Source organism: Homo sapiens, chromosome 10, assembly GCF_000001405.40.
Source record: "Homo sapiens chromosome 10, GRCh38.p14 Primary Assembly".
Lineage (NCBI taxonomy): Eukaryota > Metazoa > Chordata > Mammalia > Primates > Hominidae > Homo > Homo sapiens.
This window is the reverse complement of record NC_000010.11, coordinates 131,201,496-131,227,603: the sequence shown is the minus strand read 5'-3', so window position 1 is coordinate 131,227,603 and position 26,108 is coordinate 131,201,496. Positions and strand designations below refer to the sequence as shown.

Here is a 26,108-nt window from a genome sequence, read left to right as displayed (position 1 = left end):
GGGCCGATGTGGATGCAGGCGCATGGGCTGGGCGGTCCTTTCCGGGATCTGAGTGGGACATTCCTGGCAGGTGTTTGCTATCTCAGGTCTATATTAGGTGTGTGGTTTGCGGGGAAGCGGGGAGGCGGTGGCTCTTCTCCCACCCAAGCTCTGACAGCAGGGAAAGCTGGGCTGCCCTGGAACCAGCCAGACCTGAGGCTGCTGTGTGCCAATGACTTGGTCCAGCTCTGCCCACACCGCGTGTCCACCCAAGGGGACTCTACTCTTCTAATTGGCCAGCTCCGAGCCCAGCTTTGGGAGGAGAACCAGGGATCACCTTTTTCAGACCACTTATCTGCAGGCATAGAGCTGGGGGCCTCCCATGGTGACCAGCACTGGGTTGGGCTTCGGCCAGCCCTGGTCACTTCCAATGGTGGCTGAAGTGCCACATTAAACAAAGGCCCTTGCTAGGGCCCATGGCCATGCCCTATGGGACATTATGGAGAACAAGTCTCTGAATGGGGTGCCGCTCTCTCCAGGGTCCTGTGAGGGCCGAGGGCGAAACCGATTTTCAGCCTTGCTGTTGTGAGCAGGGCTGGAGAGTGCCTGCGAGGGGGCCGCCTCCCTGCCCAGAGCCCACCTGGCCCTGAGCAGCTGCTCTCGTGCTGCGGGAGCTGACAGCGACTCCAGGAGGTGGGAGGGCCCGCACATTCTGCTTCTCTTTCTGCTTCTGTGTTTTTTGGTTGAAGCAGGATACTTCGTTTTCCTCCAAGTTCTACACAAACATGAAAATACAGCACTTTATCTGTCCGTCTGCCCCCAGGCAAGAACAGGATCCCGTTTTGTTCCAAATGAACCCAGTTTTTGTTGGTTGGGCGTTTACACTTCTAAACTATAATTATTTTTGATTACATGTATTTACTATGTGGCTAATTTACCTTGAATGTCTTTCAATTGGATTTGGGGCTGTGTTTCCCTCCCTCACGCCAGCTGCTCCACCGACGGTCTCTCCCTTCCTTCAGTGGCTTATTAAGACTGTGCTGCTGAGCAGAAAGCTTGCTTCTGCTGAATGCTAATCGTCATGGCTGTAATCCTAATTTTTATGGTTCTGAAGGAAAACATGAAAACTCAATCATTTCCTGGATTCTCTGCTATTCTGGAAAGGTGGTGGCTTGTTTCTGGGACAGACTAGAGCTCCGCTGAGTGAGAAAACTTACTGGTCAGGTTAGATGTTTCAAGGAAATTGGTAGCCGGGCATGGAGGCTCACACCTGGACTCCCAGCACTTCAGGAGGCGGAGGCGGGCAGATTACTTGAGCCCAGGAGTTCAAGACCAGCCTGGGCAACCTAGTGACACTTCGTCTCTAAAAAACTATTTTAAAATTAGCCGGGTGTGGAGGATCACACCTGTATTCCCAGCACTTTGGGAAGCTGAGGCGGGCGGATTGCTTGAGCCCAGGAGTTCAGGACCAGCCTAGGCAACCTAGTGACACTCCATCTCTAAAAGAAACTATTTAAAAATTAGCCAGCCATGGTGGCTCACACCTGTAGTCCCAGCTACTCAGAAGGCTGAGGCTGGAGGATCACTTGAGCCCAGGCATTCAAGGTTACAGTGAGCCATGATGGCACCACTGCACTGTAGCCTGGATGACAGCGTGAGACCCTGTTCAAATAAATACGTAAATACTTGAAGGAAATTGACCCTGGCGTCTAGGGCGTGCTGCTCTGAGATGTGTATTTTTCAAGTGGTTTCATATCATTAAGATGACTGAACAGAAGTCTCTAATTTTGAATAATTTTGAAACTGCATTTCTGAGGCCAATCACACTTGCGTTTATCGGAAACCTAGCCTGGGGCATCGCTGTGTGCAGGGAGTTGGGAGGGGGGTCACATTGGGGGTGCCAGGTGCAGGCTGTGCCTTGACGTGGAGAGCCTTCTCATTCTGCGTTCCATGTGGTCTGTGTCCTCTGCTACTTCAGTGGGATGATTCTGGAGCCGTTGTGAGATTTGGGGTCTCCCTTCAGGTGGGGTTTTCCTTCAGCATTAAATAGGGACTCGGTCTTGAAATCAATCGAAATGCATCTTGGGTCTGAGATGAATCCAGAAATGTGGATGCCACGGAGGCATCGGGAGAGCCTCCAGCTGGTGTCCTGGATACCTTTGGATTTTAGAAATGAGAAACGCCTCTGTCCTCCTCCCTTCTCAGGTGGGTAGAATGGTGTACTTACAAACACAGGTGCAATGGTCTTCCCGAAGCCGCTTCTCTCAGGTTCTTCTGCGTGATCCTGTCTGTAGCATGCTTTTCCAGCCTGTGTGGCAGGGCTGTGCGTCTCTTCTCTGGACTTAGCAATTGGATGTTGATGTCTGGTTTGTAGGGCCCATCCTAGAAGAAACCTTATCAGGTTGTAGCATTTTTGCTCTCTGCTTAATTGTTTTCCTCTGATAAACTAATACAGTGCATGATGCAGAAGAGCACCTGAGCTCTGCCACGGGGTGGGAGTGAGTCGGACTACTGGTTCTGTGGGTCTTGGGAACCTCTTTGTTCCCATCTGCAAAACGAGACAATACTCAGGCCTTTCTCAGTCAACACATCCACGGCACTCATGAGCCTCAGTGCCCAGGCCAGTGCTCAGCACACGGCAGGTCCACACTGCGGGCCGATGGTCATGATTACAAACTACATTATTACCTCCACTAGTAAAGAGAGACATTCTACTTATTATTCCATTCAGAGTTCCTAACGTCCAGGTACGCTAATTAGAGTATAAAGTGTGTTTTCATCAAAATGAGATCTTGCCAGAGGTTGTTATTTTTCATTTCCACAGATTGTCAGTGTTTTCCCACATGTTTTATCTGGGAGAGTAGGGGGTGGGGTTTGGGGGACGAGGGGCCACAGGAGCCTGCGATGGGCCGTGCACTTCCCAGGCCTGGCCTGTGCCATCCTCCCAGGGGTCCAGTGAGGGAGGACGTGACTTCGGTCTTGAAGTTGGAGAGTTCAGGTAACTCCCCAGGCCGCACAGCTTAGTCCAGCCCTGAGGACATGCCATCAGTTGTGACTGACTTAGCCACAGACATCTCGCTGTCAATCAGACAACAGACACTGGGATACCCACCAAGGATCCCTGGTGAATTAGATAAAACCCCTGACTCCCTGGGTCCTAGAGCCTAGGGGAAGGGAAGCGTACAAAGCTACTTTAGTGGGTAAATCTGAATCAGGGATGTGGCTCGTTGCTCAGGGGACTCAAGAGGCCAGAGTGCAGGAGGCAGCAGACCCAGGAGGATGGGACAGTGGGGCCAGGCTGGCTCGGGAGGGCACTCCCAATGGGACGTGCAGCGACCTCAGGGTCAGCACACTTCGGCTGGAAAGGCGTGTGGGGCAGGAGCATGTAGGGGCATCATCCGAGGCTTGGAGAGGAGCCCCAGGGAATAATGGGGTGAGAGTTTCCAGAGTTCAGGTCTCAGCTGGGAAGAAGGGGGATAACTGGAAAGAGAGGGAGAGGATGGGTCAGGGGGAAAGGAGACAGGAAGGGTTCCAGAATTCCTAATCGACTGGAATTCAGGCCCTAAAAGGAAACGGTTGGAAGTGACAGTGAGGCCTCCAGGGTGGAGCTCTGGTGGGATGGAGCGGCTGCTTCTCACCACGGGGAATGCAGTGAAGAGAGAGAAGTGGGAGGGGAGAAGGTGGGGATGTGGCCTGGGGAGGGGACAGGGCTCAGCAGGTCAAGCTGGGATCTATTAGTGAGCTGCGTCCTGAAGATGTCCATGTACAGTGGGCAGGGGGAGGGCCAGGGGAGGGTTCGTGGGTGCGTGGGGGGCTGCTTGCCAAAGGAGACTTCAGGGAGTGACCTTGAGCTGGAAGGAGATGTGCAGTGATGGACCCCAGAGGCTTCTGGGGTGTGAGCATGTCTGTGTGTGAGCATGTGTGTGTGTCTGTATGCGTGAGGGTGAGCATGTGTGTGTGCATGTCTGAGCATGTGTGTGAGCATGAGTGTGTGTGAGCATGTCAGTGTGTGTGAGCATGTGGGTGAGTGTGCACACATGTGCTTTGTTTTATTTTTGTAGCTGTTGGTTTTGAAGTTAAAAGGCACAGAAGTATGTTTATAATGTAAGGGAAAAGAGCCAACAAATAGAAACGGCAGATATAGGAAAGGGTGGACCCAAAACAGTATCTGAATCATCAGGATGGGTCGGCATCTAGCTCTCTCTGGAGCAAAATGCAAACCAAGCTTTGGCAACCAAAAGGAGCCCCTTGGGATGGAAACCCACTTGGAGGTAACAGGCAGCGGAGCATGCGGTCCCATCCACCTTGACGCCTGGATTGGGGTCTGCACCAGGGTGGGGACACGGCTGGGCTTGCCGTTTGCCCCGGGGGCCGAGGAAGAGAGGCACCCAGTTCCCATGGGGTCCCAAGGCTGCACAGTCCAGCGGCTGCTGGTGCAGGTGGCAGATCTCCTGGTCTCCTGGCGCGAGGAAGTGCCTGAATCCCGGGTTTAGCCTCTGCTCACTTGATGTGCAGGCTGACCGGCATCCTCTGGGATCTCGTCCCCGCCGGTTGATCAGGGGCACTAAGAATGGTGCTTGCATCTCGTGAACCCCAGGGAAGGGAAAAGTCACCATCAGGGATGGAACTCACTATCCTCACCAGAACTAGGCCATTGTCTTGTGCAGACTTCCCACAGGCGGGGCGGGGTTAAACCGGCCACAGCCACCTAGGGTAACAGCACCTTCTCCCAGGAAACACCCTCTGCCTTGACCAATTGGAAGGCAGCTGGGGCTGGGAGAGGCCCCAGCCTTCTCTCATGACCCTCCCCAGAGAGCGGTGGCTTGGGAAGGGGCCTTATCCACCCTCTAAACCACATGTGAGAGGGGACAGGAAGGGGCCAGACAGGCATGGCCACATTAATGAGGCTGTTGCCGTGACTGCTTAGACATAGTCTTTCCTGAGTAGGGTGATCCCGAAAGGCTCGGCCATACCCTCACTATCTCCTGGACCCTCTGAATGGGGCCAGTTCAGGGAGCCTTGGTGAAAAATCCACCTTGCTGAAGAAACCATGTGAAAATCTAGAACTTTCTCCTTTCCATCTGGGAGTCCCAGCACCAGGCTGGCACTCACACCAGTGTGGCGGCTGCCTTCTGACTTAGGTGGAGAAATTTCATTGAGTTTCACATCTGCCAATAGAGAGATGCATCCCTCTCAGGGTGCTGAATTTTGCTCTAGAAGTTGACACATTTTTTAACTCATGGCCCCTCGGGGCAGCACTAATTCATCCACGAGTAGTAAGCAGAGCCTGGTTCAAAACGCAGCCGTCACTGTCCGCACAAAATATCATGTATGGATAACTTTGAAGCATCTGTCAGATGTGGGGCACTCAGGATGCCTGAGTATGCACCAATAATTCACTCTTTTGATGAATAGTTGTATTTCTCATGCTAAACTCGCATGCCGCGGAGAAGCGGCCACCTTAATGGTCTGGAACTCCTAAGGCCATTTCATATTTATGGTGTAATATGTTACTCACTGGCTTGCTAGACTGAGGGAGGCTGTTCTCTTTCCGGTTTGAGACTGTTGAGAAATGTGGATTAACCCCAAGACACTTAGTGTGTTTTCATGCTCCCTGGAGGAATAGGAATTTAGAGTTCTGCAAACCGCAGTAAACAAGCGAAAATGAGAGCCTCATGACTGCAGTCTGCCTCGTCCATCACCTAGAGGTTCGGAGGCTGTAGCTGGGATGCCCACGCAGATTCTCATTTGCCCTGTGCGGGAAGGTACTCCCAACGTGGAGGCAGCGGCGGGACAGTGGTCTGCAGAAAGACGCCACTTCTCCTGTACAATTTTCACACTGCAGAAAAGCAGACCGGGCTGCCCTCCGTGTGATTACGACGTGCTCTGCTGTCTGTCACGTGGCTAAGTCATAGCATGGGGACCTCCCCTGCTGCAAAAACCGGTGACAAAATGTTCATTTAGAGAGGAGCCGGGATCCGTGTTCAATACACGGCGATAACACATGCAGTTTTACACATACACCTGGCACCTTTAAAAAGCGTGTTATCTTCTGAGTGCCACATCCCCTCAGCGCATCTTCCAGAAACTTCCTACTTGGAGCCTCATGGCACAGTTAGAAGACCGCCGCTTTCCTCGCTGCCTTCTAATTGCTCAAGGTGGAGGGTGTTTCCTGGGAGAGGGTGCTGTCACCCTAGGTGGGGTCTTTCTCCACTACCTTTCCCACCCACCTCCCACTGGGCACTTTTTTGGAGATTTCTGTAGAAAACATTGAGAAGGAAATTTGATGGTGCTGCCATCTCTGAATTGAGTCTCTCCCACTCCACCGGTGATTTGAACACAGACTTCCTCCTGCCTTTCCTGGACGGCCAGGGGCCTCCCACCCCGCAGCAGCAGGGAGGGGAGCTGCGGCTCTTGGCGGGTCAGGGTGGGAGACACTTTCCACCTGCCATTCTGGGCTGCCCCTGTGGCCTGCAGGGAGTTGGAGAGGAGGCAGATCCTTGGGGGCAGGCGTGGGGGCCACCTCAGTGACCACCCTGCAGGTGTCCAGTTGCTCAGGGAGGCTGCCTCAGTGACCACACCACAGGTACTCAGCCGCTTGGGGGGGCCTCAGTGGCTACACTGCAGGTGTCCAGTTGCTCCGGGGGTGGGGCTGCCTCAGTGACCACACCGCAGGTGCCCAGCTGCTCATTGCCCCTGGATGGTGGTGGCCCTGGCCCCAAGGCAGAACTAAGACCACACATACGAGGGCATGGCGGACTGGGCACAGTGGTTGGCAAACCCTCGGAGCCCCCGAGGTGCTGCTCTCCACCCCCACCCCCTTTCCTCATCCTGGCTCTGGACCACTGCCAAGGGTTTGGGCAGCTTTGCAGGGGCGGAGGAGCTGGGGGGATTCAGTGATCTGCTGCCAGCCTGGTCCGGCCTGGCTGCCCACGTGGGGGCCTCAGGCAAGCCCTTCTCTACAGCTGAGGCAGGGTCCTGGGAGCAGCTCCCTGCTCTGAGAGCTCTGCAGGAGCACAGGGTGGCTCCCATGGGGTCTCCATGCCCCTTCCTCCCTCCCTCTCTGAACCCATTTCCCTGGCCCCACAAGACACCAAGTAAGGTCAGTAGCCAGAGTTGAGTAGCCCAAGCCAAAGAATGCAGGAACGGAGCCCTGGGATCCCCATGTGCCCCTTGTGAGTCAGGGCACCAGGAGGAGCAAACGCTGACCAGGGTTTCTGAATGGTCAGTCCTGCGTCCTGCAGACAGAGCCAGAGGCCCAAGGGCTGTGCTCTCCCTGGTCCCTAACCTGGGCCCTAAGCCAAGAGCCCTGGAGGATGGGGCTGGGGTGAGTGGAGACCAACCAAGCCCTCCTGACCTACGGCATCTGCGGCACCTGGGTGGGTCTCCCCTTCCAGGCTGTTGGGGGCAATAGGCCCGAGAGCCAGGGGATGTTGGGGGGCTGTCCCCTTCGCATGGCAGGGAACAGTCGCCAGGAGAAGCCTCACTATGGACGAGGCTTGGAGGCTCTGAAAGGCCATGCGGGTGCCAGGGTGGAGCTCAGCCCGGGTCCAGGGCCTGTGATGTGTGTTGGAACCTCAGGGAGGCAGAGGTCGTAGGCTGGCTCTTTTGTTGTTGGGCTCGTTTCTCAGGAAAAGGACCATTAGAATGGAGCCCCTCTGTTCTACGCGCTTTGGTAGGCCCTGGGAGGCTTCAGAGCTCAAGCCGGGGAGCAAACCACGCTCATCCGAGGGTGAGCCTCTTTCCACTACAGCCTCACTCCAGCATCCCACCTTAACACTGGATGCTGACTTTACCTTCCCGTCCCTTAGTTAACACTGTTGTACTGTAAACAGCTCTGGTTTAAATTGCCAAGCGTGGGATAAATGGTCCCTCAGGACACTCAGGGCCCATATCCAGCCCCGAACGCCCCAGGGATGCCGCGGTGAGCTTCGAGGGGAAGCCCCTCAGAGCATCGGAAGGGAAGGCCCTGGGGCCGGGCAACCTTCCCTGGGGAGGCGGGAGACATGGACAAAGGATCAGTGAGGAGGTAGCCTCCTTGCACTGCAGCCCGCAGGTCACCATGGACTGCAGAGTGGCCTTTGTGGACGGTCACTCAGCCCTCCTGCAAGTATGTATTGAGCCCAGCGATGTGCTAGGCTCCACAGGGGTAAGCTAAGGGTCCACCCACAGCCTGGCATCCCCAGAGCCTGCTCCTGGCCTGGGGGCAAGAGCACATGCACAACTCGAAGCCGCTGGCGGTCCTGGGGTCGGCCAGCCAGGGGTCAGCCCCTCCTGGGGAGTGACAGCTGAGTAAGAGTTTGAGGATGATGGGACCTGCCTGGCTCAAGGACAGGGGACAGGGGCTCTCCTGGAAGCAGAGGCTCCCGAATTGGCCTGTGGCTCAGGGACCCCTGTGTACTGGAGGGGCCCCATGGGGAAGTTGGGGGCAAGGGCGATGGCAGCCAGGCTGAGACATGGGCAGAGCCAGGCCAGGGAGGGCCATCATGACTGCGGGACGGAGCCTGCAGGCAGAGCCAGGACGGAGAGGAGTCCTGGAGGCTGGAGCTGCTGGCAGAGCCATGCCAGCCATGACCACTGGACAGGTGTGAGCTGGGCAAGGAGCTGGTGACCAGTGCCCAGGAGGAGTGACAGTGGCTGGTGCCCTGGCTAAGGCAGGAGGGATGGTTCTGAGGGGCCGGAGGGAGCTGTGACCAGATTTGCTGTGTGTTGGAGGTCGCTGCCAGGGAGGAGGAGAGGTCACAGCAGGGCACGGCTGGCCTCCGCAGAGGCCACATGACCACGGCCCCACACTGGTCTCAGGACATGGAGGTCGCCAAGCTGCAAGGATCCCCCTTGGCCAGCACCGTGGTTCCATCCCCACGTCAGCCCAGCTGCTTCCCGGAGGAAAGGGAAGATGATTTGAGATGATTCCCGGTGGCTCAGGACACACATCCACTTCCCTCCTTTCATCTCCAGTCACTCGCCTATGGGCAGACAGCAGGTGCACTGTAATCCCAGCTACTCAGCAGGCTGAGGCAGGAGAATCGCTTGAACTTGGGAAGCGGAGGTTGCAGTGAGCCAGGGTCGCACCATTGCACTCCAGCCTGGGCAACAAGAACGAAACTCTGTCTCAAATAAATAAATAAATAAATAGAAAAAAAGGATCGCAGAAGCGATCTGGCTCTGGACTTACTCAGTTGCCATCTGTAAGCTGTGAATCAACATGCAGTGAGGTCACACCACCCAAGCCAGAAAGGACTGCAGGCCCACTGTGGGAGATGGACAACTGATAGGATTATGCGGCGTTTCCACAGGGCTGTGCATTGTTTCTGTGTTTTAAAAACAGCATTTCTATCCATGTCATGCACGTATCGGTTAGATGTATTGGTGCTTTCTTACACAGCACTCACGGTACTCTATGTAGAAATATGAACAGAAGCCATGCACTATTAAAACAGTGGCAGTCCACGCACCAGGAAACGCAGTAATGAGAACAGGAAGGGACACAGGTGGGAAAAAATGGGCTGTGTCCAACCAGGCAGCTGGGGCCACCGGGACTGGCTGTGGCTCCTGCTCTCGTGGCAGGCACTGTGCATCCTTTAACTTAAAAGCCAGCTACAGCCGGGTGCGTTGGCTCACGCCGGTAATCCCAGCACTTTGGGAGGCCAAGACGGGCAGATCACGAGGTCAGGAGATCGAGACCATCCTGGCTAACATGGTGAAACCTCGTCTGTACTAAAAATACAAAAAAAAATTAGCCGGGCGTGGTGGCGGGCGCATGTAGTCCTAGCTACTCAGGAAGCTGAGGCAGGAGAATGGTGTGAACCTGGGAGGCAGAGCTTGCAGTGAGCCGAGATTGTGCCACTGCACTCCAGCTTGGGTGACAGAGTGAGACTCCGTCTCAAAAAAAAAAAAAAAAAAAAAAAAAAAAAAAGGGCAGCTACTGTGTAGGGTCAGATTGAAGCAAGACTCAGCCTGGAAGGAGTGGAGCTTCCCATTGTTCCCTGGGCCTTGCCTGGCCACCGTCCTGGTTTCTGGGCACACAGTGACTGCTGTTGGCCAGGCAGGGTAGCTGGATGAGAGGCTTTTCCTTGGACTGCCCTGTTGCTGACCAGGCCTGTGTCTGGGATCCAGCCCTCTGCTGCTGAGTCCTGCCTTCCCCTTTGTATGAGTCTGTTCTTCCATTGCTGTAAAGGAATACCCTAGACTGGGTAATTTATAAAGAAAAGAGGTTTAATTGGCTCACTATTCTGCAGGCTGTGCCGAAAGCATGGCCACATCTGCTTGGTGTTCTGCAGAGGCCTCAGGAAACTTACAATCATGACAAAAGGTGAAGGTGGAGCAGGCGTCCTACATGACTGGAGCAGGAAAGAGAGAAGCAGGATAGGGGAGGGGCCACACACTGTTAAACGACCAGATCTCAGGAAAACTCACTCACTGTCACGAGAATAGCATCAAGCAGGAAATCCACCCCAGGATCCCATCACCTCCCACCAGGCCCCACCTCCAACACTGGAGATCACAATCTGTCATGAGATTTGGGTGGGGACAAGATCCAAACCATATCACCCTTGTTCTACTGCGTCCACCACCCAGCCAGGGACATCAACCCTGTAGACTGTGGGCATTGTGGGTGTGGGACGGTGGAGGAGTGAGACAGCTTGGCAGCCAGAAGGGATGAGCCATGGCCAGCCTGGTCCTGTGCCCTGGGTAGAGATGCCACCCTCGGTTTCAGTGGGATTTGGGAACCACCCCGCGGTCTCTTGAGACATAGCTTCTTCCTCTCCCAGCTGCCACAGGGGCACTTCCCTCTGCGGACAGCTGGGGGGCTCCGATGCCTGTGTGCACCCCACTCCCATGCCTGGCCCGCAGCCAGCACAAGACACATCTTCTTATAAATGCCACCAATATCTATTTGCCCACTGTAGTCAGTGAAAGTGAAATCCAGCTGTCCTGGGCTGATTCTTAGGCTATTTTCTTAGCTATGTTTAATCCCCTCTCCAATTCTGTCCCTGGTTAGAGCTTAAATAAAAAAGAAATGGTAGTTATTGAGTTTCAGAAAAGTTTGTCCTTGTCCTGTTCCTGGCTCTGAGGAGACTCAGTTTCCTCCTATGTAATACGTAAGGATGAGATGTTAAAATCTACTATAGAGTTTCCAAAGCAGGTCTATCCCCATTTTCTGCAAAGATTCTTAAAACAACCTCAAAAGAAGCAAGATATTGTCCAAACTGAAGGCCTCACTGTAGCGAAAAGGGCAGGCAGTTGTAGGATCTGCGACAGTAGATGGTACAAGGCTCTCAGCTTGATGCTTCCAAAGTGATGCCTATGGGCTCTGGGAGCTCCTCTTTGCCCCAGTCTCTACCCTTCCATATTGTCTTACACCTGACCCACTTCTCTCTCCACCTCCTCTCTTTGGGCTTTGTACTAGTGAGACGATTTTTCTATTTCTCCATCTCCAACAAGGGCAGAGTGAGCAGAAACTGACTAGCTGATGACACCTGGCTGGATTTTGCTAATGTGAAACTGTTTTTATTTAATCGATTATCTTCCAGTCTGCTTCTGATGTCCAGGCTGATGCAGGGACAAGGCCATTTGCTCACCTGCCCTTCCCTTCCCTGTGGCTGGTCAGGTCCTGTGTCATGGGGAGTCTGGGCAGCATGGCTCAGCTGTGGCCGCCCCACAGTGCGCGTTCGTGGGTGAGTTCTGCTTCAGACTCGAGCTTCTGCACAAGTGGCAAGCTGGTTGCTCTGTGCTTTCTACTTTGCTCACTCTTTTTCTTGGTTATGTAATTTTCCATGGAAAATGGTTTTGTTTCCCTTCAGCATGGTCAGTTTGTCCTTCTCTGTGGACACTTCTTAGGGGACTTAGGCGTCAGGGTAGACTCTTGGCCGCAACAACTTTCTTCCCTGTCCTTAGTGATTTTATCTAAAGCTCCAGAGGGCTGACTTCCCCTCCTCTTCCCTCTCCACAGCCCCTCTCTCTGGCTGTAGTCAAACACCCTCCCATGGGCTGGACCAGGCATCCTCAGAGCCTAACTCTCCCGAAATCCCTTTGTCCCGGGAACTCTGACCTCAGGCTGGGGTCTGCTCCTCCAGCCGGGTGCAGATCAGGTCTCCGAGTTTCCTCGGGTTGGATTCATTCATCTCCTCCAAGAACAGGAAGCCTCTGCCGAGACTCAGGCTTTTACCAATTACGTGGATTCCATTTTAATCAAACTGGATTGGATTGAAAATTTCCATTTCTATTTAAATATACATTTTAAGGTAATTTCCTCTCAGCAGTTGATATGTTTACCTAGTGGCTAGTTCCCCATTTAGAATTCTTCTTCAGACTTAAGGACTATCTTCTCTCATGAGCCGCTTGTTTCTGGCTCCCTGTGGGGCGACGTGGATTCAATATGGGAAACATGGGTGTCGGGCTTGGGGTGAGCCTTGGATAACTTATAGTCTGGAGGCTTTCAAATAAAGGGAAATCATTGGCAGGTAAGGACCAGCACTGCTTTCACATAAAGTGGCATTGAGTAGAAAGTATCAGAGTATGAGTGCGTCACAGCGAGGAAGTACAAGCGTGGGATCTGGCCTGGGCTGCCTCCCACTCACCTGCAATCTCGGGAACCGCCCAGCCTAGCTCTGAGTGCCCCTGTTTCCGCCTGTGAGTGAGGGCAGAAACAGGGCCCCCGACACGGCCATGGTGAAAATTCAATGAGATGAGCTTCACAAAGGCCTTAGAGGAGTCCTTGGCATGGAATAAGTGTTTAATATGCTTATTAAATAAGTAAATTCAGTTCAATATCAGTGTATCAGTACATGTTTGCTGGCTCTCACTGTCAAATGTCTTTCTCAGTGGGCACATGGTCAGTAGGTGTGACCCACCCAGCTGGGCGTCTGTGGAGCTGACCTTCCAGGGGCCTGTTCCCACTGCGTGGACACCACCCACTTCCTTCGGCACCCCTCCGCCTTCAGATAAGTGGAAACGCTGGAAATCCCTGTATGAGTGGAACTGAAGCTGCCTCTCTGAACCGCGTCTGTCACTTCCTGGGTGTCAGGCATTGTGGGAGCAGCTGAAACGCAGGAGAAGGTGCTATTTTCCTCTTAACACTCATGGTTCAGTGAAAATAGAAGGTGTAAATGATGATGACTAGCCTTTTCTTAAAAGCATATAGAAAGACTAATTTTCTTGGAAGGGGTTCCAAACTCTGGGGTGGGGTAGGCTTGCTAATCAAGAGTTAAAGACGTATTAGAGACGGCTGTGAGAGTGGCTGAGATGCCACCAGCTGGAACAAGATCCTGTGGAAGGGAAGAGATGAGCAGCCAGGAGCATGTGTGGCCCATCCAGACTCCCTGGGGGTCCCATGGGGACTGTGCCCTGGACAGGGGGCAGGGCGTGCAGTGGAGATGGAGGGGACTCTGCAGCCAGGTTAGGACAAGCTTCCCAGGGAGCCTCACCCCAGGCTCCCACCCCTCCCTGGGCAGGCTCTCTAGGACCCTGCAGAGGATGTCAGGAGGCCTGTGCATTTCTACATTCTTCAAGGGCTTGTGAATTCATAAATGACTGCCCAGTTAGTCATTGTAACTGTTGTGCGTGTGTGTGTGCGTGTGTGTGTGCGTATGTAACATTAAAAGCATGTTTGTATCCCTGGATAAGTAGTGGGCCTCTGCTGAGTTAAACTGACTGACTTCCACAGCCACTGGAACTGCCGGGACTGTGGGATGGTCTGATCCTGGTGAGCATGTTCTCAGGGCCTGGGAAACACAGGGTTTCCTGCTGGGCCGTGGCTAGGGCAGGGCTCTTGTTTTATTCCCGTGTTCTCCCAGTTCCTGAAGCAGGGCCCAGCACAGGGCCCTAAGCTCAGGTTGAGGGGATTCTTGCCTGTGTGTGCCAGTGCCCTTGCCCTTAAGAGTCCCTTCAGCAAACACAGGAGAGCAGGGTCCAGGGAGAGGCCCTCCTTGTGCCTGCTGAGGGCCTGCCTGGAACCTGAGGCTGATGGAAGCAGCTTGCATAATTAAGTAGCTGCATCTCCACAGCAGTGCTGGAGATAGCTTGGGTTGTCCCCATTCCATAGACGGGGACACTGAGGCGCAGCCGGGCCAGACAGAGTGGCCCAGCTGAGCTGGAATCTGAACGGAGGCTGTGGGGTGTCTTGATCCCACGTGCCTAGCTGCTCAATGATATTTTACTACGAATTTGAAGAGCAGAATCATGTTTCCTAATATCCGGTTCTGGTGCAGAGAAATTTTATAACATGAAGTCTTATTCCAGTCAAACCTTTCTGTGTGTGAATTTCCATAGACATTTCCAGGAAGTGAGTCCCAGGTTTCAAGCCCTCCCACGTTCACGGGTGAGCCTGGGTGCAGGTGTGGGTTCTGATGAGTCTGGGCCTTTCTTTTTCCCTTCTTGGCATGTGCCATCTTCCCGTGTGCCAGGAGCTCAGGGCTGATAGAACTCTTGTCCTCTGGTCACCAGGCAGCCATGGGAGGGAGGCCCCACATAGCCTCTGGGGGCTGCAGCCAGTCCTCAGCCCTGGGTGGCCAACACAAGCCCCCTCACTGCCCATACAGCCTCTGATGGAGGTTGCTGAGGGAACAGTTTGCTTGGCTGCCTGCCTGATGGGGCAGAGAGGGTCATTTTCAGCTGATGGGTGACTAAAGTCTTCAGATTCAATATGCTTGTGCAGGTCAATCCGCAGCTGTGGGAGGAGCACTTGTGGGGAACCTCTGGGTAAGAAGCACTCCAGCGGTGCTAGCCCCATGTAATGCCTGTGTCACACTTCCTACCTCATATCACATGGGGCAGCTGCATCCACAGTCCTGTTTTAAACTATTCATGCCTTGGCTGTTTTCCTCTCTTACTGTAAAATGAGCTTTTATTTGCATCTGTGGTTGCTTATTAGCATTCACAAGTTAATTCTTTGTTTTATTAGCCACTCACAAATAGAACTAATTTGGTAGTCTCAGGTTGAATTGAGAATTTTGGAACTGTAGACTTGTGGATGTGCAAACTAGAGATGTTAATTTCAGGAGAGTACCTAAGACCCTTCAAAGCATTATCTTTACATATTTGTAAAATCACCTGGACCCTCACTTCTTTCATTTACCATTCCACTTTTAATTATAGGTGCTTTAGGTAAGGCCTAATTATTTTGAGCTTACAGATGCCAAGCATAGATGAACAGTTTCAAATAATGCATTTAGGCTGGATAAATGGAGTTTCCCATCATGCATTTGTTCTAGATAAATGGAGTTTCCCATCATGCATTTGGGCTGGATGAATGGAGTTTCTGATCATGCACTGGTATACCCTTAACTTCAGGCCATGGATGTGGACACCAAAAAGGATGCTCCCTTCAAGACCTTTGTGTCACAGCCTTGCAGAATCAACTCTGCATGGGCCTGAAGGCAGTGGGAGAGCTGCTGTCTTGCCCTGGGTCTGAGTCTGAGTTGAGATGGTGCCAGTGGGTACAGCGTGTGAATGAAGAGGCAGACACAACCTTAGCCTGCACTTTTGGGCAGGGATGGTTCCCACACCGTCACCTGGGGAGATGAGGTGGTCTCTCATACATGTGGGAGATGAGGATAATGTGGCCCCATAGCACAGTTGAGTCACAAAACCTTAGAATCACCCCAATCTTATCATTAATTCTTGCTTGCTAATCTGGAGAAGAAATAAGGAAAGATCTGTGGATGGTCATGTGTCTACTCAGTAACAGCATAAAAATGATCTTAGATAGGAACTAATGCTGTGGAAACTTCTGTTTATCTGATTACTTTTCTATTTATATTTCTTACATCATCTTTTTCCATCAGAGAAATGGATGCTCCCAGCCGCCGTCTGCACTAGAGGTGACGCTGGCAAGTGGCCCGGCAGGCCTGGTGCTCTGGTGCTTCTTGGGGTGGGGCTCGTTCTCAGGCCCGAGTCCACCGCCCAGCCGCTTCTTTCCTCCATGTGTGCAATTTTCGTGCTGCATTTATGTTGTTTGAAGGTTGAAGTGTTAATAAAATAGGTTGCCTTCATGAAAGGAGCTGCCTATGACATTTCTGGCAAGTTTCCTCCTTTGGCTGAAACTGGCTCTCTGGCTGGGGCTTTGCTTTCACTTGTCCCAGGATGTGGATGGAGAAGTCACTGCATCCTGGGACATTACTTCTCGTGGTGTAACTAAATAGAAGGGGTTCTAGCACATCTAGCTCCGGCCACAGCATGGGCCCAGAACACCGGGAAAGGGGTTGTAGTAGGAAGCCCTTTGCCACACCATGGAAAAATCTGGCAGGGAAAGTCAGAGCCCCGTGCTCAGGGGCCCAGCCCTGGCCGCAGCTCACCACATGCTTCCTGATGTGAGGCATCTGATCCGGTTCTAGCCTCATCTGCTGGGGGCCTGAAGGCCAGGGACAGTCCTCCTCAGTCCTCCTTTGAGAGGCTGGCCTATTTCTTGCACTTGTGGGACCAGAGCCACGGTGCCTCCAGCAGGGAGGGCCGAGCCATACGGCCCTGACCGTGCCCCACCACCCAGATACCATCCCAACACCCCTTTGCTGCTGTCCCCAAAGCACAGATGCACAGGCTGCAGGCAGCTTCAGAGAACAAACGTTCAGAAGGTCTCCAGGTGGGTGAGACAGAAGGGGAGATGGGACAATGTCCTTAGACGTTTGATTTTGATTCACACATTGAAGTGCATGGTAGCGCCTCGTGGAAGGTGTAAATCTTCATTGGAGGAAAACGATGAAATAGTGATGACATGAAGTAATGACTTGCTGTTTCGGTGGCTTGCCATGCCTCCCTGATTTTACATGGGGAACTGTGTACTGTTGCTCCCAAATTAATTTTTGGAAAATGAGTTATTGACTGCAGATATAATTTATTACTAATAAGCAAAATATGTTTGTAACGTGGGCCTGATGGGGTGGTTAGCAAAGAAGGAATAAGGAGGAGGAGGAGGAGAGGAGGGAGGAAACTGAGGGAAGGGCGGAGATGAGGGCTGAATCCAGTAGGGCGGGCCTGCGGGACAGCTCAAGACATGCAGTGTGTTCCCGCAATGCCTAAGAGTTCTTAGTTGTACAGTCTGGAGGTAAAAACAACTTGGCAAAGCTGTGCCACTTGTGAATGGTGAAGCCTGGAATTTTTCCCAGATAATTCTTTCTTTTTATTTTCACCTTGGTATTGCCCACGGAGTGCCGGTCATTTGGATGTCTCCCTGCCAGAGGGTCTTTGGAGAGTGGATTGGTCAGAGCTGGCTCTCTTCCAGCAGGGACAAAAGTGAGGCAAGTGGGCAGGTTCTTAGTTCCTGCCAAGGATGGCCCTGGGGGCAGAGGGTTGGGGGGACTGTGGGCACAGGGGCCTGGAGTCAGTGGCCTTGGTCCTTGAGCTGACACTGTCTGCAAGGCTGGGCGACCTCAGGGAGAGCTGGATCCCTTTGTCAGTCTCCTCATCTGGAAAATGGGCACAACAACAGCTCCCATTATTTTTCTTGAAGTTATGGTAATAACAAAAGAGAGGGAGAGATGATGACAAAATGCTGGAAAATCTGCAATGGATTTCATGTTGAATATTTTCTTCTTCTCCAGGTGATCTTTATGTCACTTCTGTTCCTTCTGTATTGCAAAAAACATTCATTTTTGTAAGCTAGAGAAACTTGCTTCTTTTGGTATGACTGGCACAGCGAAATTACGACGGCATCAAAATGCAGCCTAATCAGTGAAGCCTCTATTTCTAGGTGTAAAATATATTTGTAACCTTGCTATTTTGGGTGTCACATCAAGATTCTGATATATTAAAAAGTAACATTTTAAAAGCATTATCTTTGTAAATTAATATTACAAAGTCTTCTTTAAGCTTAAAATTATTTAAATAGCTATATTTATTTAGATAATTACAAAGTGCTTTATTTTATCATTTATTTTAAAAACTACTTAACTATAAAATATAATAATTATTGCCCTACTATGATACTGTGTTTGTCACTGGTAGGAGGACAAATGAGACCATTCAGTTTCCAGATCCTATAGAATTAAAGTGGTTATTCAGAGAAGGTTAGCAGGCCTCACAAATGGCAAAGGCTATATATATTTTACATTTATAAGTGCATTTATCTAAGACATTTACTTTGTGGCAAAAGAATTACTTTACTAGTCATGCTGCGTGCATATAAAAATATCTGTTCATTAAAGTTCTAACAGTGATTCCCTAATGCTTTTAAAATAAAACTCCTATTTTTAAATCATAATTACAGTATACAGGTATCCACTTCCCCTTACTGCTACACTAGACATTATCAGTAAACGTGGTCCACGTTTCTATTTAATGACTCTTGATTTTCCAGACTTCGGCTTCTTTGTCAGAGCCAGGCTGAGAAAGAATGCTTTCCACCTTTGGTTTCCCTGATCTGAAATGCTTGGGACGACAGGTGTTTCAGATTTGGGAACACTTGCTGATACTTACTGAGGTATCCTGGAGCTAGGACCTAAGCCTGAACACAGAATTCACTGATGTTCCCTACGCACCCTATACACATAGCCTGAAAGTAATTTTATGGAGTATTTTTATTAATTTTGTACCTGAAACAAAGTTTTGACTACGATTTTTTTTTTTTTTTTTGAGACAGAGTCTCGCTCTGTCACCCAGGCTGGAGTGCAGTGGTGCAATCTCAGCTCACTGCAACCTCCACCTCCCGGGTTCACGCCATTCTCCTGCCTCGGCCTCCCGAGTAGCTGGGACTACAGGCGCCTGCCACCACGCCTGGCTAATTTTTTTCTATTTTTAGTAGAGACGCGGTTTTACCATGTTAGCCAGGATGGTCTCGATCTCCTGACCTCGTGATCCGTCCGCCTCGGTCTCCCAAAGTGCTGGGATTACAGGCGTGAGCCACTGCGCCCGGCCAAGTTTTGACTGTGTTTTGACTGAGATGAGCCACATGAGGTGAGATGTGAAATTCTCCACTTCTGGGGTCAGCACGGAGAAAGTTTCTGATTTGGGAGCATTTTGGATTATGTGTTTTCAGGTTAGAAGCGCTCAACCTACATCCTAAGAAAGGTAATGGCTTCCCCCTCCCTAGAAACGGTGGGGCAGGGGACAGATTGTGGAGCATTAGCACATGACCTCTGATTTATCATTTAACTGCAGCTACGAAAATCTGTCTGCTCAGACACAACATGAGAAGGGGATGCTGAGGACGTGGAAGCAGCCTGTGAACCGGGCGTTCTCGGCAGCTGGTCTCTGCGGAGCTCACCATCGTTCACATGCATCTCTGTCGAGCTCTGTGGGCTCGGAGCTGAGGAGCAGCCATGTTAAGGAAAGCCAGGCTCACAGGCCCCCTCTGAGGCTTCGCACTCTGTGGCCAGAGGGTGACACAGATGATAGGCATCCTCATGTCACATGAGAGGGAGCTTCCTCCAAGTGACGTAACCTGGGCATCCGTCATGGAGGAGGGGTGTTGAATTTGGAAGCTTTCCCCTGGAGGAACCGCTTTGGCTCAGGCATCAAGAGATCACAGGTGACTAGTGACGGTCATATTGACTCCACCTAGTCCCGTCCTTTCTTGGTCTTTGAGCTGGTCCTTGGGGTCCTCATGTGGGATAGTGGGCTAGGCAGGGCTGGCCTCTCTGTGGTTGGGCTGGTCCCTAGGGTGCCTTGGTGGCACGGGTGGGTTGGCTCATTGTGGAAGTGGAGTTCGGGGAACCTTGACTCCCTCTCAGCACAGCCTCCCCTGCCTGCCTCCCTGAAGCCGCCTGGAGCCTTGGGTCTCTCACTCTTGACACAGCCTATTTCCAGCTGAGCCTGGTACCTTCTTTCTTCTTTCCATGATGCTTGTCCTCCTAAGACCCACTCGGTGTCAGGGACCACCCGCTCGGTATTTCAAGGCTGATGGGAAGCCCGAGCTGTGAGGGCGGTCCTGGTTCCCGGGCCTGGCGCATCTGAGGTCGCATGGACCTCAGCCCCACACCCCTCCTCTTGCTGCAGAGGCCCGCGCTGTCCTCACAGGAAGCGGACACATCTCCCAATCTGTATGAGGCCTCCAGGCCAAGGGGGAAGCTTTCTCCATATTCAGGTTTTCCCCCATGAATGTTCTTAAACCTGATGTAGCTGTTTCTGGTCTGCTAACTGGAGCCAGGGGAGAACAAAATGGTAGCAACTGACTCAAGGGAGAGCTGCAGGGAGAAGCCGGCATTGCCACTTCAAGGGAACATCTGTCTTCATGTTGGAGCCGCTGTGTCACCTGTAAACAGTGAACTTGAACTCTGCCCTGCATCACTGCAGTGCCGGCCCTGCAGGCTCCCTCCTGGGCAGCAAAGCCTCGGCAGCAAGACGCCTGTCCACCAGGCCTGCGCGTGAAACCAGGTGACACTCATGCTGGCTTTCAGCCCATTTGGAAAGCTCCTGTGACCTCTGGGGTCTCCCAGGACAGAACCTCCCTTTGGAGATATGGAATCACGCTGTGCCTGGAGCTGGAGATTGGGTGGGGGAGGGGATCAGGGTAGGGGAAGAGGTCGGGGCAAGTGAGGGGATTGGGGTGGGGACCTCCCTGAAGATCTCCATGCAGCTTTCTTGGCCAGTGGCCAGCAGAGTTGCGCCCACTCCGACGCTCGCTGAAAAGGACAAAGCACTTTCTGATTCCAGGCTCAGCTCTGAAGAGGGGAACTGATGGAGGGGACCAGCCACGGGGACGCCAAGAAAGGCCTATTTGAGAATTAGGAACAAACAGAGTTTCAAAGACCATTTGCTTCCCTGGCCCCTCTGGGAGTGAAGTGACTGTACCAAATCCTTCCACGTCCTCCCGCACCACTCGCTTGGCCAGAGGAGCATCTGGCTTTTCCCTGGACGCACCCCACCCTCTCCTCATGATCTTGTCCTCTTCAAGGAGGACCAGGCCTCCCTGTCCTACACCCCACATCCCTGGGAAATCACTGTCGGGGCTGCCCCAGCCACTATTTCACCCTGGCTGAGCTCAGCTGCTACTTCTGGGCTCCAGGAGGACCCTGCACCCCTCACGATGCTCTTGTTCTCATCACAGTCGTCCCTTTGGGAACACGTGACCTCTGCCCCTCCTTCACATGCTGCCCACTGAGCTCAGCCACGGGGTCCTTGATTGCACGGACTTTGCACCCAGGGCCTGTGCAAGGCCTGGCGGGCAGCCGCCCACGAGGGGCGCTTGTTCCATGGATAAAACGCCCTCTATTCTGCCTCTCCTCGTGCCCCTTCCTTTGAGGGCTGCTCCAGGAAGGCTCAGGTGAGGCAGGTGGATTCTTCCCTTCCTTGGCTGTCTGGGGCCCCAGGGCCTGGGAGGCCTGGGCAGAGCTCCCACACCGGTCTTCACTCCAGGACCCCCTTGGAGGGTGTGTCCCGGGCTGACCTCCCTGCCCAGTGCCCTGAGTCCACTCCCAGGCTGCCAGCCGGTCCGCAGGACCAGCCCTTCTGGTGACCCAAGATGGTGTTTCCATGAGGATTTGCCTTTGCGGACCTTGGCGTACACCCGATTGGCAGTTCATTCGTTGTCCATGACATCCTTCAAATCCGCCTGTACTTCTTATTCCAGAGCCACCAGCCAGTTCTCCCGCCTGGGAATCCTGAGGGCTTCGTGTCTGCAGCATCCATTTTCCTGCCCTTTCAGAGTCTTCCAGACAAAGGAGCTACAGAGCTATAGTAAGACCTCTGTGGTCATATGGCAAACCATCTGCCCGTGGACCCCTGCTCATATGGCAAGCTGTCTGCCCACAGACCCCACAGAGACCTGGCACAGGAGCCAGGTGGAGGGCAGTCACCACCTCGGCCCTCTGTCGTAGCTTCCCAACTCTGGGTCCATCCCAGGGGCTCCCACAGCCTCCCGTCTCCTGCACCCTTTGCATAAAACATCTTTTGGATAAAACAACCTTTGCAGCCTCTTAGGAAGGATGAGGTCCGCCGTGCTGAGCCTCCAAGACCAGGTGACCTCAGCAAGGTGGCTGCGGACATGCTGCCTTTCCAGGAAGTGGCAGTCAGAGATGCCAGGGTGGCCCCATGACCCCAGGCCAGGATGTGCCCTGCCAAGGGAAGGCCATGGAAGGCGGCGTTTACCTCCACGTCCCCAGGGCTGCACTGGAGCTACTTAAGAGAAGCATTTTTAAATAAAAGTTCAGCCTGTTACAAAATTCCCTAATGTGAGATACAGGCTGGAATGAGGCAATTCCACAGAGAAATCATTGTGGGAATAATTCACATCTAATGTAGTTTCATGAAGGATGCTATTTCCAGAGTCTAACTTTTTCTCCCTTTTTCTCTCACTTTTTGATTTTATTGCTGTTTTTTTTTTTTTTTACATTAGGAGAAATTGAAAACCTGTTTAGGTTTCATAGCTTCACATTTCTGAAGCAAGTGACACAGCAGAGAGTTGGGATGCATCTGATTTGTGCCTCACAATGAGGCGTGCACGTCACTGGTTAATTATGTGGCGTTCCATAAAGGAGAGCTGTTGGGATAAAAGGATGAATTGCGAGCATTAACCTTCTTTTTCCCTTTTTAAGGGGACCACTTGTCAGTCACAACGGCAGTAAAGCCAGGTGTAATGAAATTGGATTTTGGGAGAGGCTGCCATTGAGTTGATGCCATGGGCCGCTTGGTCTGGGAGAGGCTGGATTCTCAGTGCAGCCCCAGAAAGAGCCGGGTGGCAGGGGTTGAGGGCATGACAGGTCCAGGGACAGGGGCCTTAGACCAGATCCAGCTGCAGAGCACGTGAGCCCTGACCCCATGGTCAAGACCCTGGACTTCAAGCAGAAAGGCCACTGGGCTTGTGGTCAGAGATGGTGTGAACCTCCATCAAGGATCCCTTCCTCTGCCTGTTCATAAAACCGAGAGGTGGGCTCTTCTCTCCAGCCAACCTGTTCTGCCTGGGGCCAGGCTGTGAAGGGGCTGAGGGACAAGTCCACTGCCATCGGGGCCTCTCCCTGAAGGGAGTCTTCTGCCCCAAGAAACATTCTTCCCTTACCCGCAGGCTCATTGGTTTATTTTAGCCTCTAGTGGAAGGACACTGGACAGATGTCCTTTGATTTGAGGACACACACCTTTGGATCTGAGCTGGCTCCGTGCCCCACTGGAGCCCACACAGTGACTGTGGCCACCGCTGCTGGGAAGCCAGGACCCACCATCACGGACAGTTTCTCCACTGTACATGGGAAATGGCTTTGACAGGTGCTTTCTGGCATTTGGGGTGGATGGACTCATCCTCATCCCCATTTTCAAGCTGTGCATATGGAGGCCATGTAGATGCGGGGGCAGGGTGGGGGGGCAGGTGCCAGTTTCCTGAGCCTGCTTGTGGTGGGGCCATCGGGCCAGCCCACTTGCTGGTTTGTGACCTGTCTCAGTCTGTTCCCGCTCCTCTATACTCTTAGACTAGACAATTTATAGAGATGAGAAATGCTTTTCTTACAGGTCTGGAGAATGGAAAGTCCAGGACCAAGGCATCAGCAGATCTGGTGCCTGATGAGAGCTGCCAAGACCCTAGCTAGGCCCAGGCCCAGTGCTAAGCCACCAGGCTTCCAAGATGGCGCCTCCTTGCTGTGTCCTCCCATGGCAGGAGGGAGCAAGGGCTAAGAGGGCCTAGCTGGTTCCCTTCGGGCCTTCCATGAGGTCGCTCATTCCATCCATGAGGGCTCTGCTCTCATCACTTCACATCTCCTAAAGGTTTCACCTCTTCATATCGTCCTATTGGGGCTTAGCTTCCTACTTTGGGGTTTTGTGGGGACTCACGTATTCATGCCCTAGTGTGACCTAATGTGACATCACGCCTCTCCCCTCCCAGCTGGGTTGCGGTGGAGACAGCCAGCTGTCCCCTTAAGATGCCCACCCCCCACTTGGAGGAGGTCTGAAGTGGAAAGTGGCTAGGGAGGCTGCCATCACATTTCCCAGGCTGCCCCCAGGGCTAGCGCTCGCCGGCGGGATGTGAGCAGAAGCAGCAGTTAGGAGAGTGCCTTCCCCACCTCCCGGCCCCTACTGGCCTCTGGATTCCAACCTCTCTGAAACTCGGTATGGCAGGGCCACAAACCAGAAGCAGATGTGTCCCTGAATCGTTTGCGGTGACCCACATTCATCCTCATGGGAGAGACGCACCATCTTCGAATGTGAACGGTTGACATGACGGGGGCGTTTTCCCATGAGGCTGAGAAGTCCTGTGCATGCATTCCCTTAAAATAGAGACGTGAGCACCTGTGATTGGGGCCAGCTTGGATGTTCTACCAGAGGCAGTTTGCTGTCTGGTCAAAGAGGTCTTAGGGTGCTTTTTTGTCATCAGCCTCATTAAACAGTGAGCTGATCTTAAGTGACGAGACCATGAAGGTCACCACTGTGACATACTGGAAGTCTTTTTTTTTTTGAGACGGAGTCTCACTCTGTCACCCATGCGAGAGTGCAGTGGGACGTACTGGAAGTCTTAAGTGAGGTCATCTACCACCCAGCTGTGCTCTGTAACCCAGAGAGCGCAGCTCGGAGGGCTGAAGACAGGTATACGCATATCCATGAACACTGTCACTACTCCTGAGAAGGCGTCACTGCTGTCATTGAAAAGCTTTGAGGGCTGTTGTCTATGGTTCTTGAATTTGTAAGTGGAATTCCTGGCAGCTGTGTGATAAATCAAGCACATCGGTGTCGGCGTGACCTTTGACTTCTGTCCCCACAATCTGTGAACCAGAATAAACCTCTTCACTCAAACTTCCACTTAGGATGGCACCTGGTTAATATGAATCATGAAGCAATCAAAACTGAGGTGTACGTTTCCACAGACGGCAGACTTAATTATTTAAGTGTTTCTTTTTTCTAAATAAACTGTAAAAAATGAACATATTTTATTTTAAAAATGGAAACAATTTAGAAGCTTATAGAATCAAGCTCCTCCCAACCCTATTCTTCTCATATTGGAAACTTCTATTGATAATCAGATAATCAGAATATTTCCAGTGTATTCCATGCAAGCCTATGGATTCCTGAAAATGTGGAGAGGATGTTATTGACTTGAATTCCGCTACGTTACTGTTTTACTTAGCAGTGTACCTTAAAGACCAAAATGTAGTGAACTTGAAAAAATCTGTTTTTTATTTTTATTTTTTTTTGGAGATGGAGTCTTGCTCTGTCACCCAGGCTGGAGTGCAGTGGCATGATCTTGTCTTACTGCAACCTCCGCCTCCCAGGTTCAAGGGATTCTCCTGCCTCAGTCTCCCTGTATCTGGGATTACAGGCACTCGCCACCACGCCTGGCTCATTTTTGTATTTTTAGTGGTAATGGGGTTTCACCATGTTGCGCAGACTGGTCTCGGACTCCTGACCTCAGGTGATCCGCCCTCCTCGGCCTCCCAAAGTGTTGGGATTACAGGCATGAACCACCGCGCCCGGCGAAAAAGTTCCGGCCTTACCAGCTTTTGTGGTACCCCACGGTGCAGACATGCGCATACCTACTTGCTTTGGGGGCATCAGTCTGTTTCTAACGTGGGCTGTTACAATCAGTTGAGCGTGTACGTTCTCTGTGCTCCTTCATGTGGTCGGGAGGCTCACGTGCAGCTGGTGATCATGCAGTTTGGTACAACGCTTCTGGAAAGAAATGGATTAATATAAATCGAGACTCTTAATTAGTTTGTCTGTTTAACCCAGCAGTTCTGTCCATGGGACCTTTCCTAAGGAGCAGTCATCGGAAACGCATTACAGGATCTGGAGAGAACCAGCCCCCGTGACCCCCACGTGGCCCTGGGACTTGTTAGAGCTTTCTAGCATCTTTCATTGGCTCTTTCCTCGTCTCTGAGGAAGGTCGATGGATGCGCCTTCAGCACAGCGTGGTGGTGGACGTGGGGTAAAAGAGCAGCCATGTTTAGCAAAGCCGGCAGCTCTGAAAAACTCACTCACAGCTGAGCATTTAGAAGGTCATTACAGTCCCGCAGAGAAGGACGCATGAGGACATCCCACAGAATGCAGTGTAAAATTCGGAGATTAAATATAAAAAAGAAGTCCAAATGCCCAACAGCAGCAGCAGAGCAAATTGCAGTCCATGTTTTGTAGAAATATTTGGCAGCCATTGATTTATTTTATTTTTATATATTTTTTTATTTGCAGCCATTTAAATCATGCTTATTAAGAGCTTCTAAGATTGTGGCGTTTGTTAAAATAGTAAGTAAAGCAACAATTCTACATTGGCAGTGACGGGTCCA

The 26,108-nt window shown here is 52.2% G+C and overlaps 1 protein-coding gene and 1 long non-coding RNA gene across 6 annotated transcripts in view; both read left to right on the top strand.

Annotated features, from left to right (window-relative positions):
* Positions 1–26,108, top strand: part of TCERG1L (transcription elongation regulator 1 like) — a 219,331-nt gene that overhangs the window by 84,118 nt on the left and 109,105 nt on the right. The gene's annotated exons all lie outside the window — the stretch shown is intronic.
* LOC105378563 (uncharacterized) lies at positions 18,788–25,051 on the top strand. 4 transcript variants are annotated; one of them, XR_946483.1, is made up of 5 exons: positions 18,788–18,981; positions 19,072–20,286; positions 20,566–21,175; positions 21,482–23,085; positions 23,350–25,051. It is a non-coding gene; the product is annotated as an uncharacterized LOC105378563 (long non-coding RNA). The 4 variants fall into 4 exon arrangements; XR_946484.1 differs by having other exon boundaries at positions 18,788–19,441; positions 20,032–20,286; XR_946482.1 differs by having other exon boundaries at positions 18,788–20,286; positions 21,482–21,588; positions 22,913–23,085.